Source organism: Homo sapiens, chromosome 10, assembly GCF_000001405.40.
Source record: "Homo sapiens chromosome 10, GRCh38.p14 Primary Assembly".
Taxonomy (NCBI): Eukaryota; Metazoa; Chordata; class Mammalia; order Primates; family Hominidae; genus Homo; species Homo sapiens.
This window is the reverse complement of record NC_000010.11, coordinates 90,509,816-90,527,184: the sequence shown is the minus strand read 5'-3', so window position 1 is coordinate 90,527,184 and position 17,369 is coordinate 90,509,816. Positions and strand designations below refer to the sequence as shown.

The 17,369-nt window shown below is 35.9% G+C and overlaps 1 long non-coding RNA gene across 1 annotated transcript in view; it reads left to right on the top strand.

Moving 5' to 3' along the window:
- LINC02653 (long intergenic non-protein coding RNA 2653) overlaps positions 1 to 17,369 on the top strand; it is a 138,285-nt gene that overhangs the window by 13,621 nt on the left and 107,295 nt on the right. The window lies entirely within an intron of this gene.

Here is a 17,369-nt window from a genome sequence, read left to right as displayed (position 1 = left end):
AGGGCAGGAAAGACAGTCTTAAATTGCTAATACCACCCCCCACCCCCTCAGCTCCCAGCAGCAGCCACATAGTGCGGAGAAAGGATCTGTGTGCTTCAGGGAGGGAGAGTACAGGATTTGTGGGACTATGCATTGAAAGTCAGTGCTGTCTTGTCACAGCAGAAAGCAACATTTGGCAGAATTCAGCTGGCACCCACTGAGGGAGCATTTAGAACAGCTCTAGCCAGAGGGGAATTGCCTATCCCAGTGGCTGGAATCTGAGTTCTGGCAAGCCCCACTACTGTAGGCTTAAGGGCTCTGGGGTCCTAAGTAAACTTGTAAGGCAATCTAGGCCAGAAGGACTAAAAGTTTTGGGCAAGTTCTGATGTTGTGCTGGGCTCTGAGCCAGTGGACTTGAGGGACACATGACCTAGTGAGACACCATCTGGAGTGGCCAAGGGAGTGTTTGCTCCAGCCCTCCCATAGCCCCAGGTAGCACAGCTCACAGCTCTGGTACAGATACCTCTCCACTTGAAGAGATGAGAGGGAAGACTAAAGAGGACTTTGCCTTGCAACTTACATACCAGCTCAGCCACAATAGGATAGGGTACTGGAAGAGTCATGAAGCCTCCACTTCAGGACCCAGCTCCTGGATGACATTTCTAGACATACCCTGGGCCAGAAGGGAACCTCCTGCCTTGAAGGGAAGGACCCAGACATGGAAGAATCCATCACCTGCTGACTAAAGAGTTCCTTGAGCACCAAATAACCAGCAGTGATACCCAGGCAGTACTCACCATGGGCCTTAGGTGAGACTCAGAGATGTGCTAGCTTCAGGTGTGACCCAGCGTGTTCCCTGTAGTGGTGGCTACATAGAGGAGACTTCTTCTGCTTGAGGAAAGGAGAGGGAAGAGTGAAGGGGAATTTGTTTTGCAGCTTAGGTACCAGGTTGGCCACAGTGGGGTAGAGCACCAAGCAGTCTCTTGGGGTCCCCTGTTCCAGGACTTGAGTCTTGGATGGCATTTCTGGATCTGCCTTGGGCCAAAGAGAGCCTACTTCCATGAAGAGAGAGCCCCAGGTCTGGCAGCATTCACCATAAGCTGACTAAAGAACCCTTGGACATTGCGTGAACATTGGCTAGCCAGGCAATATTTGCCATGGCCCTGGGGCAGTGATGGCTATTGGCAGAGACTCCTCTCCTCCTTGAAGTGGAGGGAATAGTTGGAAGGCCTTTGTCCAGTGGCTTGGGTGCCAGCTGGGATGCAGTAGAATAGAGCACTAGATAGATTCCTAAGGTTTCTGATTCCAGGCCCTGGCTCCTGGATGGCATTTCTGGATCCATCTGAGATCAGGAGAACTCACTGCCCTGAAGGGAAGGACATAAGCCTGGCTGGCTTTGTCACATGCTAATTGTAGAACCCTAGGACCTTGAATGAACATAGGCAGTAGCCAGGCAGTGGTGACAACCAGTACTGTGCTAGCTTCAAGTCAGACCCAGTCCCAGCCACAGTAATCACCGGGGTGCTTGTGTCATCCCTTACCCAGCTCCAGACAGCTCAGCACAGAGAGAGAGAGAGAGAGAGAGAGAGAGAGGGAGAGAGAGAGACTGACTCAATTTGTTTGGAGACAAGTAATGGAAGATAACAAGATTCTCTGTCTAGTAATTCAGAGAATTATTCTGGAAGTTATTTAAGACCACCAAGGTGGTAACTCTACAAGTCTGCAAGAGCCACAGCATTACTGAGCTTGGTGTACCCTATAATACAGATATGACTGCAGATACCAAAACTTAGATTAAAACACCCAAGTTCCTCTGAATATTTGGAAAATCTTTTTTTCCAAATATTCCAAGAAGAACAGGTACAAAAAGGCCTAACTCTGAAGACTACAATAAATACTTAACTCTTCAATGCCTAGACACTGGCAAACATCCACAAGCATCAAGACCACCCAGGAAAACATGAACTCATCAAATAAACTAAATAAGGTACCAGTTCTGGTACCTTATTTAGGGGATCCAGCTCTGGAGAGACAGAGACAGGTGATGTTTCAGACAGAGAATTCAAAATAACTATATTAAGGAAACACAACAAAATTCAAGATAACACAGAGAAGGAATTTGTAATCATATTAGCTAAATTTAACAAAGAGATTATAATAATTTGGAAGAACCAAGTGAAATTCTGGAGTGGAAAAATGCAATTTCAATACTGAATAGTGCATCAGAGTCCTTTAATAGCAAAATTGATCAAGCAGAAGAAAGAAACAGTGAGCTTGAAGACAGCCTATTTGAAAATACACAGAGGAGACAAAAGAAAAAAAAAACAATGAAGCACATGAACAAGATCTAAAAAAATAGCCTCAAAAGGGCAAATCTAAGAGTTACTGATCTTAGAGTGGAGGTAAGAGAAAGAGATAGGTGTGGAAACTGTATTCAAAGGAATAATAAGATAACTTCTCAAACCTAGAAAATGGTATTGGTATTCAAGTACAAGAGGGTTGTGAAACACCAGGCAGCTTTAACCCAAATAAAACTACTTTGTGACATGTAATAATCAAACTCCCAAAGTTTAAGGATAAAGAAAGTATCCCAAAAGCAGCAAGATAAACAAATAACATACAATGAGCGCCAATATGTCTAGCAGCAGACTTTTCAGTGGAAACCTTACAGGGCAAGAGAGAATGGCATGACATATTTCAAGTGCTGAAGGTGAAGAATGTTCACCCTAGAATAGCATATTCAGTAAAAATATCCTTCTAACATGAAGGATAAATAAAGACTTTCCCAGACAAACAAAAATGGAGGGATCTTATCAACATCAGACGTATCCTCCAAGATAAGCTAAAGGAAGTTCTTCAGTCTGAAAGAAAAGGATGTTAATGAGCAATAAAAAATCATCTGAAGTAAAAACTCACTGGTAATAGTAAACAGAAAAACACAGAATAGTATACATTATAATTGTGGTGTGTAAACTACTCATATTTTGAGTAGAAAGACTAAAAGATGAACCAATGAAGATAATAACTACAACTTTTCAAGATATAGACAGGACCAGACATAAACAGAAACAATAAAAAGTTAAAAAGTGAGAGGATAAGGTTAAAGTGTAGAGTATTTATTAGTTTTCATTTTGCATGTTTGTTTATGTAATCAGTTTTAAGTCATCATCAGTTTAAAATAATGGGTTATAAGATAGTATTGCAAGCCTTATGGTAACCTCAAATCTAAAAACATACAACAGCTACAAAAAAAGCAAGAAATTAAAACACACCGCCAGAGAAAATCACCTTCACTAAAACAAAGATAGGAAGGAAGGAAACAAGATAAGACCACAAAATAACCAGGAAATGCATAGCAAAATGACAGGAGTGAGTCCTTATTTATCAATAATAACATTGAATATAAATGGACTAAACTCTCCAATCAAAAGACACAGAGTGGCTGAATGGATAAAATTAAAAAAAAAAAAAAAAACCGAGCGCAATGATCTGTTCCATACAAGAAACACATTTCCCCTACAAAGACATACAAAGACTAAAAATAAAGGAATGGAAAAAGACATTCCATGCAAATGGAAAATGAAAAAGAGCAGGAGTAGTGATATTTATATCAGACAAAATAGATTTCAAGAAAAAACCCATCAAAGCAAAAAATAAAGTCATTATATAAAGACAAAAGAGTCAATTCACCAAGGGGATTTTATAATTATAAATATATATGTGCTCAACAATGGAGTGCCAAGATATATAAAGCAATTACTGTTAGAGCTAAGAGACAGATACACCCCAATACAATAATAGCTGGCCACTTTCAGCACTGGCCACACCATTGAGATAGAAAATCAACAAAGAAACACTAGAGTTTATGAGCACTATAGACCAAATGGACCTAATAGGTTTTTATAAAACATTTCATCCAATGGCTGAAGAATATATATTCTTCTCTTCGTTGCATGGGTCATTCTCAAGGAGATACCATATGTTGGGCCACAAAATAAGTCTTAAAATTTTAAAAACATTAAAACTATTTCAAGTATATTCTCTGAACACAATGGAATAAAACTACAAATTAATAACAAGAGAAATTTGGGAAATTACATAAACACACTGAAATTAAACAATATGCTCTTGAAACAAATGACAGTGAAACATAACATACCAAAACCAATGGATACAATGAAAGCAGCACTAAGAGGGAAGTTTATAGCTAAAGCACCTACATCAAAAAAGTAGAAAAATGTCAAATAAAAAACTTAATGTTGGATCTTAAAGAACTAGAAAATCAAGAGCAAACTAAACCCAAAATTTGTAAAAGAAAAAAAATAACACGAGATCAGAGCAGAAAATAACTCAAATTGAAATAGAGAAACCAATACAAATGATCAATAAAACAAAAGCTGGATTTTTGGAAAGATAATTAAAACTGACAAACCTTTAGTATACTAAGAAAAAAACAAGAAAAGACCCAAATAAAATCAGGGATAAAAAAGAGACACTAAAACTGTTACTACAGAAATTTTATTAGAGGCTACTATGAAGAACTATATGCCAATAAATTGGAAAACCTAGAAAAAATGGATAAATTCCTATATAAAGCCTATCAGGATTTTACCACAAAAATGTCCAAAATGTGAACAAATAAGAAGTAATTAGATTAAAGCCATAACAAAAAGCCTCTCAGCAAAGAAAAGCTCAGACCTAATGGCTTCACTGCTGAATTTTACTAAATATTTAAAGAAGAACTAACAGCAGTCTTACTCAAACTTCTGATAAATAGAGGAAGAGGGAATACTTCCAAACTAATTCTATGAGGCCAGTATTACCCTGATACCAGAACCAAAGACACATCAAAAAACAAACAAACAAAATAAAACAAAACAGGCCAGGCAGGTGGCTCACACTTTGTAATCCCAGCACTTTGGGAGGCTGAGGAGGGTGGATCACGAGGTCAGGAGATCAAGACCATCCTGGCTAACACGGTGAAACACAGTCTCTACTAAAAAATAGAAAAAATTAGCCAGGCGTGGTGGCGGGCGCCTGTAGTCCCAGCTGCTCGGGAGGCTGAGGCAGGAGAACGGCATGAATCCGGGAGGCGGAGCTTGCAGTGAGCCAAGATTGTGCCACTGCACTCCAGCCTGGGTGACAGAGTGAGACTCTGTCTCAAAAAAAAAAAAAACCAACAAAACAAAACAAAACTACAGGCAAATTTTCCTGATGAACATTGATGCAAAAGTTCTCAAGAAAATGTTAGCAAACTGAATTCAACAACCCATTAGAAAAATCATTTGGCCAGGCATGGTGGCTCATGACTGTAGTCCTAGCATTTTCAGAGTCCAAGGTTAGAAGATTGCTTGAGTGCAGGAGTTCAAGACCAGCCTGAGCAACAAACTGAGACCCTGCTTCTACTAAACAAACAAACAAACAAAAAATAGCTGGGCATGGTGATATGTGCCTTTGCTACTAGCTACGTAGGAGGCTGAGGAAGGAGGATCACTTGAGCTCAAAAGGTTGAAGCTTCAGTGAGCTGTAATTGTGTGTGGCACTCCAGTCTGGGTAACAGAGTAAGACCCTGTCTCAAAAAGAAAAAAAAAGATCATTCATTATAACCAAGTGGGATTTATCCCTGGAATGCAATGATGTTTCAACATGCTCAAATCAATCAATGTGATATATCACATCAACAGAATGAAGGATAAACACCATATAATCATTTCAATTGAGGCTGAAAAAGCATTTGATAAAGTTCAATATTCCTACATGATAAAAACCCTAAAAAAACTTGATATAAAAGGACTGTATCTCAACTAAATAAAAACCATATTTGGCAGACCCACAGTTAGTATTACTGAATAGGGAAAGACTGAAATCTTTTTCTCTAAGATCTGGAACACAAAGATGTCCACTTTCACCATTGCTCTTCAGTATAGTATTTGAAGTCCTAGCTGGAGCAATCAGACAAAGGAAAAAAAAAAGGGCAACTATATTGGAAATAAAGAAGTCAAAATATTCTTGTTTGCAGATGATATAATCTTATAATTGGAAAAACATAAAGACTCAAAAAAACTATTAGAACTGATAAATTCAGTAAAGTTGCAGGATACAAAATCAACATAGAAAATTATCAACATTTTCATATGGCAAAAGTGAACAATCTGGAAAAGAAACCAAGGAAGTAATCCTGTTTACAATAGGTACAAATAAAATAAAATGGCTAGAACTAAACTTCACTGAAGAAGTGAAAGATCTTTCCAACAAAAACTGTAAAACATTGATTAAAGAAATGGAAGCAAATGCACCAAAAGGAAAGATATTTAATGTTCACGGATTGGAAGAATCAATATTGTTAAAATGTCCATACTGCCTGAAACAACCTACAGAGTCAATGTAGTCCCTATCGAAATGCCAATGACATTTTTATACTGAGATGAAAAAACGCAATCTTAAGATTTATATGAAACCACAAAAGATTTAGAATAGCCAAAGCTTTCTTGAGCAAAAAGAATAAAACTGGGGGAGTCCCATTACCTTACTTTAAATTATACTATAGAGGTATAGTAACGAAAAAAGCATGATACTGGCATAAAAACAGATGCATAGTACAATGGAAGAGAATAAGGGACCAGAAACCAATCCACACCCCTACAGTGAACTTATTTTTGACAAAGGTACCAAGAACACCCCAGTTAAAATGGCTTATATCCAAATAACAGGAAATAACAAATGCTGGTGAGGATGTGGAGAAAAAGAAATCTTCATACACTGTTGGTAGGAATGTAAATTAGTACAACCACTGTGGAAAACAATTTGGTGGTTTCTCAAAAAACTAAAAATATAGCTATCGTATGATCCAGCAGTCTCACTGCTAGGTATATACTCAAAAGCAAGAAAATCAGTACATTAAAGAGATATCTACACTCCCATGTTTATTGTAGCACTATTCACAGTAGCCAAGATTTGGAAGCAGCCTAAATGTCCATCAACAGACAAACAGATAAAGAAAATGTGATATATAATACACACACACACACACACACACACACACACACACACAATGGTGTACTATTCAGCCATAAAAATGAATGAGATCCTGACATTTGCACAACATGAATAGAACTGTAGGTCATTGTGTTAAGTGAAATGAGCCAGGCACAGAAAGACAAACTTCACATGATCTTACTTATTCGTGGGAGCTAAAATTAAAATAATTGAACTCATGGAGATGGAGAGTAGAATGATGGTTACCAGAGGCTGGGAAAGGTAGTAGAGGAAAACGGAGATAATTAATGGATAAAAGCATATATATTTAGGTAGAACTTAAAACCTCTAGTATTTGGTAGCATAAGAGGGTGAATACAATCAACAATTATTGATTGTAAATTTTAAAATAAGTAAATGAGGAGAGTTGGAGCAAGATGACAGAATAGAAGTCTCCACCAATTATCCCCTCCACAAGCACACCAATTTAACAACTATTTACATAGAAAAAAAAAAAACACACCTTCATAAGAAACAAAATCTTTCAGTATATCATCCATGAGAATTTCCCCAACCTAGCTAGAAAAGTCAATATTCAAGTTCAGGAAATTCAGAGAACCCCAGTAAGATACTTCACGAGAAGATTATCCTCAATACATATAATCTTCAGATTCTCCAAGGTCGAAATGAATGAAAAAATGTTAAAGGCAGCTAGAGAGAAAGGGCAGGTCACCTACAAAGGGATGCCCATCAGAACAATAGCAGGTCTCTCAGCAGAAACCCTACAAGCCAGAAGATACTGGGGGCCAATATTCAACATTCTTTAAAGAAAGAAATTACAACCAAGAATTTCATATCCAGCCAGACCAAACATAGGCAAAGGAGAAGTAAGATCCTTTTTCAGACAAGTAAATGCTGAAGGAATTCATTATAACCAGACCTGCCTTACAAAAGCTCTTGAAGGAAGCACTAAATATAGAAAAGAAAGATCATTACCAGCCACTACAAAAACACACTTAAGTACGGAGGCCAGTGACGCTATAAAGCAACCACACAACAATTCTGCATAATAACTAGCTAACATCATGATTACAGGATCAAATACACACATATCAATACTAACCTCAAATACAACTAGGCTAAATGCCCCAATTATAAGGTGCAGTGTGGCAAGCTGGATAAAGAACCAAGATCTATTGATATACTGTCTTCAAGAGACCGATCTTATGTGCAGTGACACCTATAGGTTCAAAATAACGGGAGAAAAGTCTATCAACCAAATGGAAAACAGAAAAAACGGAGTTTGCAATCTCAATTTCAGATAAGACAGACTTTAAGCCAACAAAGATAAAAAAAGACAAAGTAGGGCATTTCATAATGGTAAAGAGTTTAATTCAACAAGAAGACCTAAGTATCCTAACTAAATATGCACTCAACACAGGAGCACCCAGATTTATAAAGCAAGTTCTTAGAGACTTTCAAAGAGACTTTTACTCCCATACAAAAGTACTTGGAGACTTTAACACTCAACTGACAGTATTAGACAGATCATCAAGGCAGTACATTAAGAAAGATATTCAGGACCTGAACTCAACACTGGATCAAATGGACCTAATAGACACCTACAGAACTCTCTACCCTAAAACAATAGAATATACATTCTTCTCAATATCACATAGCACATACTCTAAGGTCAATCACATAACTGCATATAAAATACTACTCAGCAAATACAAAAGAACTTAAATTATAACAAGCACTCTGTCAAACGACAGGGTAATCAAATTTCTTAGTCTTAAAAATCAGAACTAAGAAATTCACTTAAAACCATACAATTAAATGGAAATTGAATAACCTTCTCCCAATGAGTTTGGGTAAATAATGAAATCAAGGCAAAATCAAGAAGTTCTCTGAAACTAATAAGAACAAAGATACAACATACCAGAATCTCTGGGATGCAACTAAGGCAGTGTTAAGGGGTAATTTATAGCACTACATGCCCACGTTAAAAAATTAGAAAAATCTCAAGTTAACCTAACATCACAACTAAAAGAACTAGAGAAACAAGTGCAAACAAATCCCAAAGCTAGCAGAAAACAAAGAAATAACTAAAATTAGAGCTGAGAAGGAGATTGAGACATGAAAAACCATTCAAAAGGTCAACAATTTCAGAAGTTTGTTTTTGAGAAAATTAATAAAATAGACTGTTAAGATAGACTAATGAGAAAAAAGAGAAAAACCAAATAAACATTATTGGAAATTACAAAGGGGATATTACCACTGACCCAACAGAAATACAAATAATCATCAGGGAATATTATGAATACCCATATGCACATAAACTAGAAAATCTAGAAGAAAGGAATAAATTCCTGGACACTTACACTGTCCCAAGGCTGAGCCAAGAAGAAGCTGAATCCCTGAACATAGTAATAATGAGCTTCAAAATTGAATCAGCCTACCAAATATATAGCCTACCAAACGAAAAAAGCTCAGGATCACATAGACGAAGAGGAGCTGGTACCATTCCTGCTGAAACTTTCCAAAAAATTGAGGAGGAGGACTCCTCTATAACTCTTCCTATGAGACCAGCATCATCCTGATACCAAAACTTGGCAGAGACACAGCAAGAAATCCCCACAAAACTTCAGACCTATACCCTTGATGAACATCAATGCAAAAATCCTCAACAAAATACTGGCAAATCAAATCCAGCAGCAAATCAAAAACCTTATCCACCACGATCACATAGGCTTTATCCCTGGGATGTAACATTGGTTCAACATATGCAAATCAACAAATGTGATTCATCACATAAACAGAACTAAAGACAAAAAACACATGATTATCTCAATAGATGCAGAAAAGTCTTTTGATAAAATTTAACACCCTTTCATGTTAAAAACTCTTAATAAACTAGTCATTGAAGGAACACACCTCAAAATGATAAGCGCCATCTATAACAAACCCACAACCAACATCATACTGAATGAACAAAATCTGAAAGCATTCCCCCTTGAAAATTGGCACAAAACAAGGATGCCCTCTCTTACTCCTTCTATTCAATATAGTACTGAAAGTTCTGGCTAGAGCAATCAGGCAAGAGAAAGAAATAAAGAGTATTCAAATAGGAAGAGCAGAAATCAAACTATCCCTGTTTGCAGATATATCTAGAAAACTTTTTAGTCTGGGCCCAAAAGCTCCTTAGGTTGATAAATAACTTCAGCAAAGTTGATAAAAAATCAACACACAAAAATTACTAGCATTCCTATACACCAAAAACAGTCAAGCCAAGAGCCAAATCAGAAATTCAATCCCATTCACAATCACCATTCAAAAGAGTGAAACACTTAGAAATGCAGCTCACCACGGAGGTGAAATATCTCTACAAGGAGAACTGAAAAACACTACTCAAAGAAATCAGAGAAGACACAAACAAATGCAAAAACATTCCAGGCTTATGGATAGGAAGAATCAGTACCATTAAAATGGCCACACTGCCAAAAGCAATTTATAGATTCAATACTCTTCCTAATGAAGTACCAATAACTAGAGAAAACTGTTTTAAAATTCATGTGAAACCAAAAAAGAGCCCAAATAGTCAAGGCAGTCTTAAGTAAAAAGAACGAAGCTATAGGCATCACACTACCCCACTTCAAGCTATACTACAGGGCTACAGTAAACAAAACAGCATGGTACTGGAACAAAAACAGACATATAGACCAACAAAACAGAATAGAGAGCCCAGAAATAATGCTGCACATCCACAACTATCTGATCTTTGACAAAGCTGACAAAAACAAGCAATGGGGAAAGGACTCCCTATTCAATAAATGGTGCTGAGATAACTGGCTAGCCATATGCAGATTGAAACTGGACCCCTTCCTTACACCATATACAAAAATTGACTCAAGATGGATTAGAGACTTAAATGTAACATCCAAAAGTATAAAAACCCCAGAAGACAACTTAGGAAATACTATTCTGAACACAGAAATGGGCAAAGATTTCACGATAAAAGACATCAAAATATTTGCAACAAAAGCAAAAATTGACAAATGGGATCTAATTAAACTAAAGAACTTCTGCACAGCAAAAGAAGCTATCAGCAAAGTAGACTGACAGCCTACAGAATGGGGGCACATTTTTGCAAACTATGCATTTGATAAAGGTATAATATCTGGCATCTGTAAGGAACTTAAACAAATTTACAAGAAAAAAACAAGCTCATTACAAAAGTGGGTAAAGGACGTGAACAGACACTTCAAAAGAAGACATACATATGACCAACAGACATATAAAATAAAGCTCAATATCACTGATTATTAGAGAAATGTAAATGAAAACCACAATGAGATATCATGTTACACCAGTCAGAATGGCTATTGAAAGTAAAAAAATAACAGATGCTGGTGAAGTTGTGGAGAAAAAGGAACACTTACACTCTGTTGGTGGGAGTGTAAATTAGTTAAGCCATTGTGGAAAACAGTGTGGTGATTCCTCAAAGACCTAAAAACAGAAATATCATTTGACCCAGCAATCCCATTACTGGTTATATACCTAAAGGAATATAAGTCATTCTATCATAGAGACATGCACACATATGTTAATTACAGCACTATTCATAATAGCAAAGTTATGGAATCAACCTAAAAACCTGTCAATGGTAGACTGGATAAAGACAATGTGGTACACATACACCATAGACTACTATGCAGCCATAAAAAAGAATGAGATCATGTCCTTTGTAGGAACATGGATGGAGTTGGAGGCCATTATCCTTAGCCAACTGATGCAGGAACAGAAACCTAAATACTACATGTTCTCAATTATAAGTGGGAGCTAAATGATGAGAACACATGGACACATAGAGAGGAACAACAGACACTGAGCCCAATCAAAGGGTAGTGACTGGGAGGAGGGAAAGGATCAGGAAAAATAATTAATGGGTATTAGGCTTAATACCTAGGTGATGAAATAATCTGTACAGCAAACCCCTATGACACAAGTTTATCTGTAACAAACCTGCGCATGCACCCATCAACTTAAAAATTAAATTACAAAAATTAAAAAAAATAAAATAACTAAATGAGTATAATTGAATTGTTTGTAACACTAAGAAAGGATAACTGCTTGAAGTGATGGATACCCCATTCACCCTGATGTGATTATTATGCATTATATGCCTGTATCAAAACATCTCAGGTACCTCATAAATGTATGGTATCTACAAAAAATAAAAATTATAAAAAAATGCAACTAATGTGAGACATGTGGTGTAGGTAGGAAATGTTTCAGCAAAATGGGGGAAGGTAAGTGTGTGGATATATGTGGGGAGAAATGGTTGTAAGAGAGAGTAGTGTGAACAAAGGCACAGATTCAAGAAAGTACACCATATTCTAGAAGAAGCCAAAGATGTTCAACTTGGCTGAAATTTAGTGTTAAAAAAATTATAAAGATATTACTGTGCAGTAATATGCACAGGTAGGCAGGCACCAAAATGGAATGAACCTCTGGTGATGTAATGGATTTTAGTTTAAATCTGAGGCAGGAATAGACTCAACCAATTCTCTTCTCTCTAAGGCTCACTATTCTTTTCCAGTCCCAGGAATGCTCCTCTAATTTATTTGTTTTGCTCAGGGTTGATTGATGATTTTATACAACAACACAATTTTTATGTAACTGTGAGCAAAGAGACTACAGGGCTTGGGTGTGAGGCAACCTGAGAAAATCTGTTTATTGGGGTCAGCCAGGAATCTCTGTGGAGCTGGAGACTCAGTAATTAAATTGAATTAAACTCAAAGTGGCCTGAAAGCCTTGTTGCAGGAAAATGCAGAGAAGCTTTTCCTGAGAGATTAAACCCACTTAGGCATATTAGTTTTTATGGTATTCCTAATGGCCACTAGAAAGTCAGTATAAGTAATGTAAAATCTATGGTGATACCTGTGATTTTGGATTTATGCTTGGCATGGCTCACAGAAAAGACCCATCTATAACTGTAGCATTGAGAGCAGGCTGGCACATTGAATCATTTCGGACCTATTTCCTAAGGCAAAGGAGAATGGCTTCAAGCCTTTGCAGATGTCTTTGCTGATGTCTGGGAGATATAAGTGAAGAAAATAGTATATTAGACGACTGTGTAAAACAAGGTCAAGCAGAAGTTTGGTCATGTAGAAGTGGGTAATTCTATTAATAAAGTAGAAAAACTTTTGGTTATTTTACCAATTCAAGATGCACTATGTGTAATAATATCCTTATGGCTATTTTCTGGGTAGTATTCTAAACATTTTCCTTAGCCCTGAAATCATTAGAAGAACGGTGAGAGCAAGTGAGAAAGATACTGCCTGTATCATTGAACAAAGTAGCTAGCTGCTCTTTTCAAAAATGAAAGACATTGGGTGCAAGTTTGTTTGAAATTAACATAGTTTGCTATGTTTTTATTTTCAATAAGCAGAAAATAGCATACAGAATCCACAGAATCATTTTATTAGCATAATTGAAGCAGATGCTATTTCTTGAGATAATAGGTAAATGTGTGACAATATATTAGGTTACTGTCTCTGGATATTTTTCATACTTTAATATGTTTGCAAGCAAATACCTTTCACAGTGAAGTCCAGGAGCAGCCAACAGAATAATAAAATAAATTTAAAAAATTTACAGCCAAGTTAGATCTCTCTTAGGAAGCACCAGGTTGAAAAATTAGTCATTTTTGCTGGCAAATTAGCGAGATATAATTGGAATAAATCGTTTTATTGAATATCTTAGTGCAATGACTATACATATGTGAATACCTAGAATTTGTTCCAATACAATATACAATGAAAATACCCATATATCTCTAATAAAAATGGTATGAGGTCTTTTGTCATAAATGATATTCAAACTTATCTTTAGGAACTTATGTATCAAAATCCAATTCCTTACCTTAATTTTCAGATGGATTTTTATTAAATTATATGTAGAATTCTTTTTTGTATTCCTTCTTGTATTGATAGTTTCTGTTTTTATGTCTGTGGCATGTGTCTACATCTTTTTCTCTATGAAGCTGTCTTTTATTTCCAATATTGCTTTTGTTTTCAGTTTAATTTAAAATTTATATATATTAAAATACACAAATCTTAAATGTACCATTCAATGTTTTTCCAGATACATACACCAGTGTAACCACCATCCCTATTGTCTTAGTCCATTCAGGCTGCTATAACAAAATACCTTAGACTGAGTGACTTATAAATAATAGGAATTTATTTCTCACAGTTCTGGAGGTGGGGAAGTCCAAGATCAAGGCACCAGTGGAACTGATGTCTGGTGAAAGCTCACTGTGCTTCATAGATGGCACCTCTTGCTGTGTTCTCACATGGCCGAAAGGTCCCAAGAGGCTAGGACTCTCCCTCTTTAATCTCTTTTATAAGAGCATAATCCATTGATGAGTGCTCTTCTCTCATGACCTAGTCACCTCCCAAAGCCCTACCATCCTAATATTAATGCATTGGGGAATAAATTTCAACATATAAATTTGGGAGTGGGGCACAGCAACATTCAGATCATAATACCCATCAAGATACAGAACATTTTTGTCAACCTAGAAAATTCTTTCTCAGTCAATGACCTCTTCACCCAAAGGCCACACTTTTATGAATTTTCCACTATAGATTAGTCTTGTTTGTTTTAGAATTTCTAATAGACTCACATAGTATGTGTACTCTTTAATGCCTGACTTTTTGCTCGACATAACTCCATGCTGTTGTATGTATCAGTAATAGATTTCTTTTTATTGCTGAGTAGGACTCCTTTTATGAATATACCACAACTTATTTATTAATTCTCCTGTTGATGGACATCTGGGTTGCTTACAAGTTTTTTGCTATTATGAATAGATATACTATGAACATTCTTGAACAAGTTATTTGTGGACATTTGTTTTCATTCTTTTTGGGAGAATACCTAGGTGTGAAAATGCTGGATCATAGGGTGGGTGTATGTTTGACTTAATAAGAAACAAACTGTTTTTCAAGGTGGTTGTACTATTTTACAGTTTCAGTGTAGTGTATGAGAGTTCTGATTGCTCCAGGTCCCCCAGTGATTGACTTGTGAGTATTTTTGCTTTTTTAGTGAGTGTGTACTGGCATCTTCTGATGGTTTTAACTTGCATTTTTCTGAGAGCTAATTATATTGAATGCTTTATTCATGGGCTTGTGACCATTTCTATGCTTTTCCTTGGGAGGTTGTTTTCTGTTCAAGTTTTTCTCATTTTTATAGAGTTGTTTGTCTTCTGGCTATTGAATTGTAGGAGTTATTTACATGTTATGAAAATAAAACCCTTGTCAAAAATATTGTATTGCAAACATTTTCTACCAGTATGAAGCTTACCTATTCTTTTTCTTAATGATCTTTTGATGAGCAGATACTTTAAATTTTGATGAATCTAGTGTATTCATTTTTGTCTTTTATGGTTATTGCTTTTTGTATTGTATTTAAGAAATGTTTGTCTAACTCCAGGCCACAAAAATAATGTTCTATGTTTTATTCTAGAGACTTTATACTTTCAACATTTACATTTAGGTTTATGGCTCATCTCAAAAACAATTTTTGTTTATGGTATAGAGTTGTTATAGTTTGGATATTTGTCCTCTCCATATCTCAGATTGAAATTTGAGCTCCAATGTTGGAAATGGGGCCTAATGAGAGGCATTTGGGTTGTAAGCGTAGATTGCTTATCAATAGATTAATGCCTTTCCTTAAGGGGGTGAGTGGTTTCTCACTCTATTAATTCCCACAAGAACTGGTTGTTAAAAACAGTCTGGCGTCTCTCCACTTGCTCTCTTGCTCCTCTCTTACCATGTGATCTCTGTACATGTTGTTACCCCTTTGCCTTCCATCATGAGAGGAAGCAGCCTGAGGCCCTCCTCGGAAACAGATGCTGGCATTTTATTTCTCATACAGCCTGTAGAACTGTGAGCCAAATAAACCTATTTTCTTTATAAATTATCCAGTCTCATGTATTCCCTTATAGTAACACTAAACAGACTAACAGAAGAGTTCATGGTTTATTTTTATTTTTTTCATGTGAATATTCAGTTGCTGTAGCACCATTTTTAAAGAAAGACTCCCTTTTCGCTATTAAATAACTTTGGTCATTTTTTGGAAAATTAATTGACCATATAAGAATTGGTCTGTTTCTGGACTCTATTCCACTGACATATTTGACTGTCATTAAGCCAATATTTCACTATCTTTATTATTGAAGCTTTATGCCAAGACTTGAAGTGAGATGATGAAAGTCCATCAGTTTTGTTCTTTTTTTCCAAGAATATTTGGGCTATTCTATGTCCTTTGAATTTTCATGTAAATAATAGTGTCAGTTTGACAATTTCTAGAAAGTTACTACCTTTGATTATGGGATTGCATTGAATTTATAGATTTGGGAAATAATTGACACCTTAGAAATATTGACTATTCTGATTCATGAACATGCTGCAATTCTGTTTGTTTAGGTCTTTAAAAATGTTTTTCAGCAATGTTATGTGGTTTTTGGTATAGAGGTATTGCACACTTTTAGTGGAATTTATTTCTAAGAACAATAAAATATTTTTTATGTTATTTTAAGTGTAATAGTCTTTTAAGTGTTATTTGCAATTTTTAATGGTAGAATATAGAAATGCAATTCTTTAGTTTAATGATTTTGTGTCCTGAAACCTTGCTAAATTCAAATATTAGTTACAATAGTTGCTTCCTAGATTACTAAGAATTTTCCATATAGACAACAATATTATCTGTGAATAAACATAATTTCACTCCTATCTTTTCAATATTTGTTTCTTTGATCTATGTTTTGCACTATTGCACTAGTTAGATTACACAGTGCAATGTTGAATAGCAGAAGTAATAGTAAACATCTGTTCTTGATCCCAGTAAGAAGTCACTAAATGTTTCATCATTAAGTATGATGTCCTCTGTAGATTTTTCTCAGATGCCTTTTATAGAATGAGGAAGTTCTCTTCTGTTTCTAGGTTGCTGAGAGTTCTTAACTCAATGAGTATTGAATCGTATCAAATGATTCAATCAAATGACACCAAAAATGATCAATTTTTAAATATTTTTGATTTTTTGATAGTTACAGTCTTTTTTGTATTTTGTTTTTGTTTTTTACTTATTCTGATAATGTGGTGAATGTAATGATTGATTTTAGATTTTAAATCAATGATATAGTTTCAGGTAAATTTCATTTGGTTATAATGATAATTATTTACAAATAGCTGGTTTTAATTTCTTAAAATTTTGTTAAGGTTGTGATATAGTTTAAACGTTTTGTCCCCTCCAAAACTCATGTTGAAATGTGATCACCAATGTTGCGGGTAGGGCTTTGTGGAAGGTGTTTGGGTCATGGGGGTGGATTCCTCATGAATCACTTG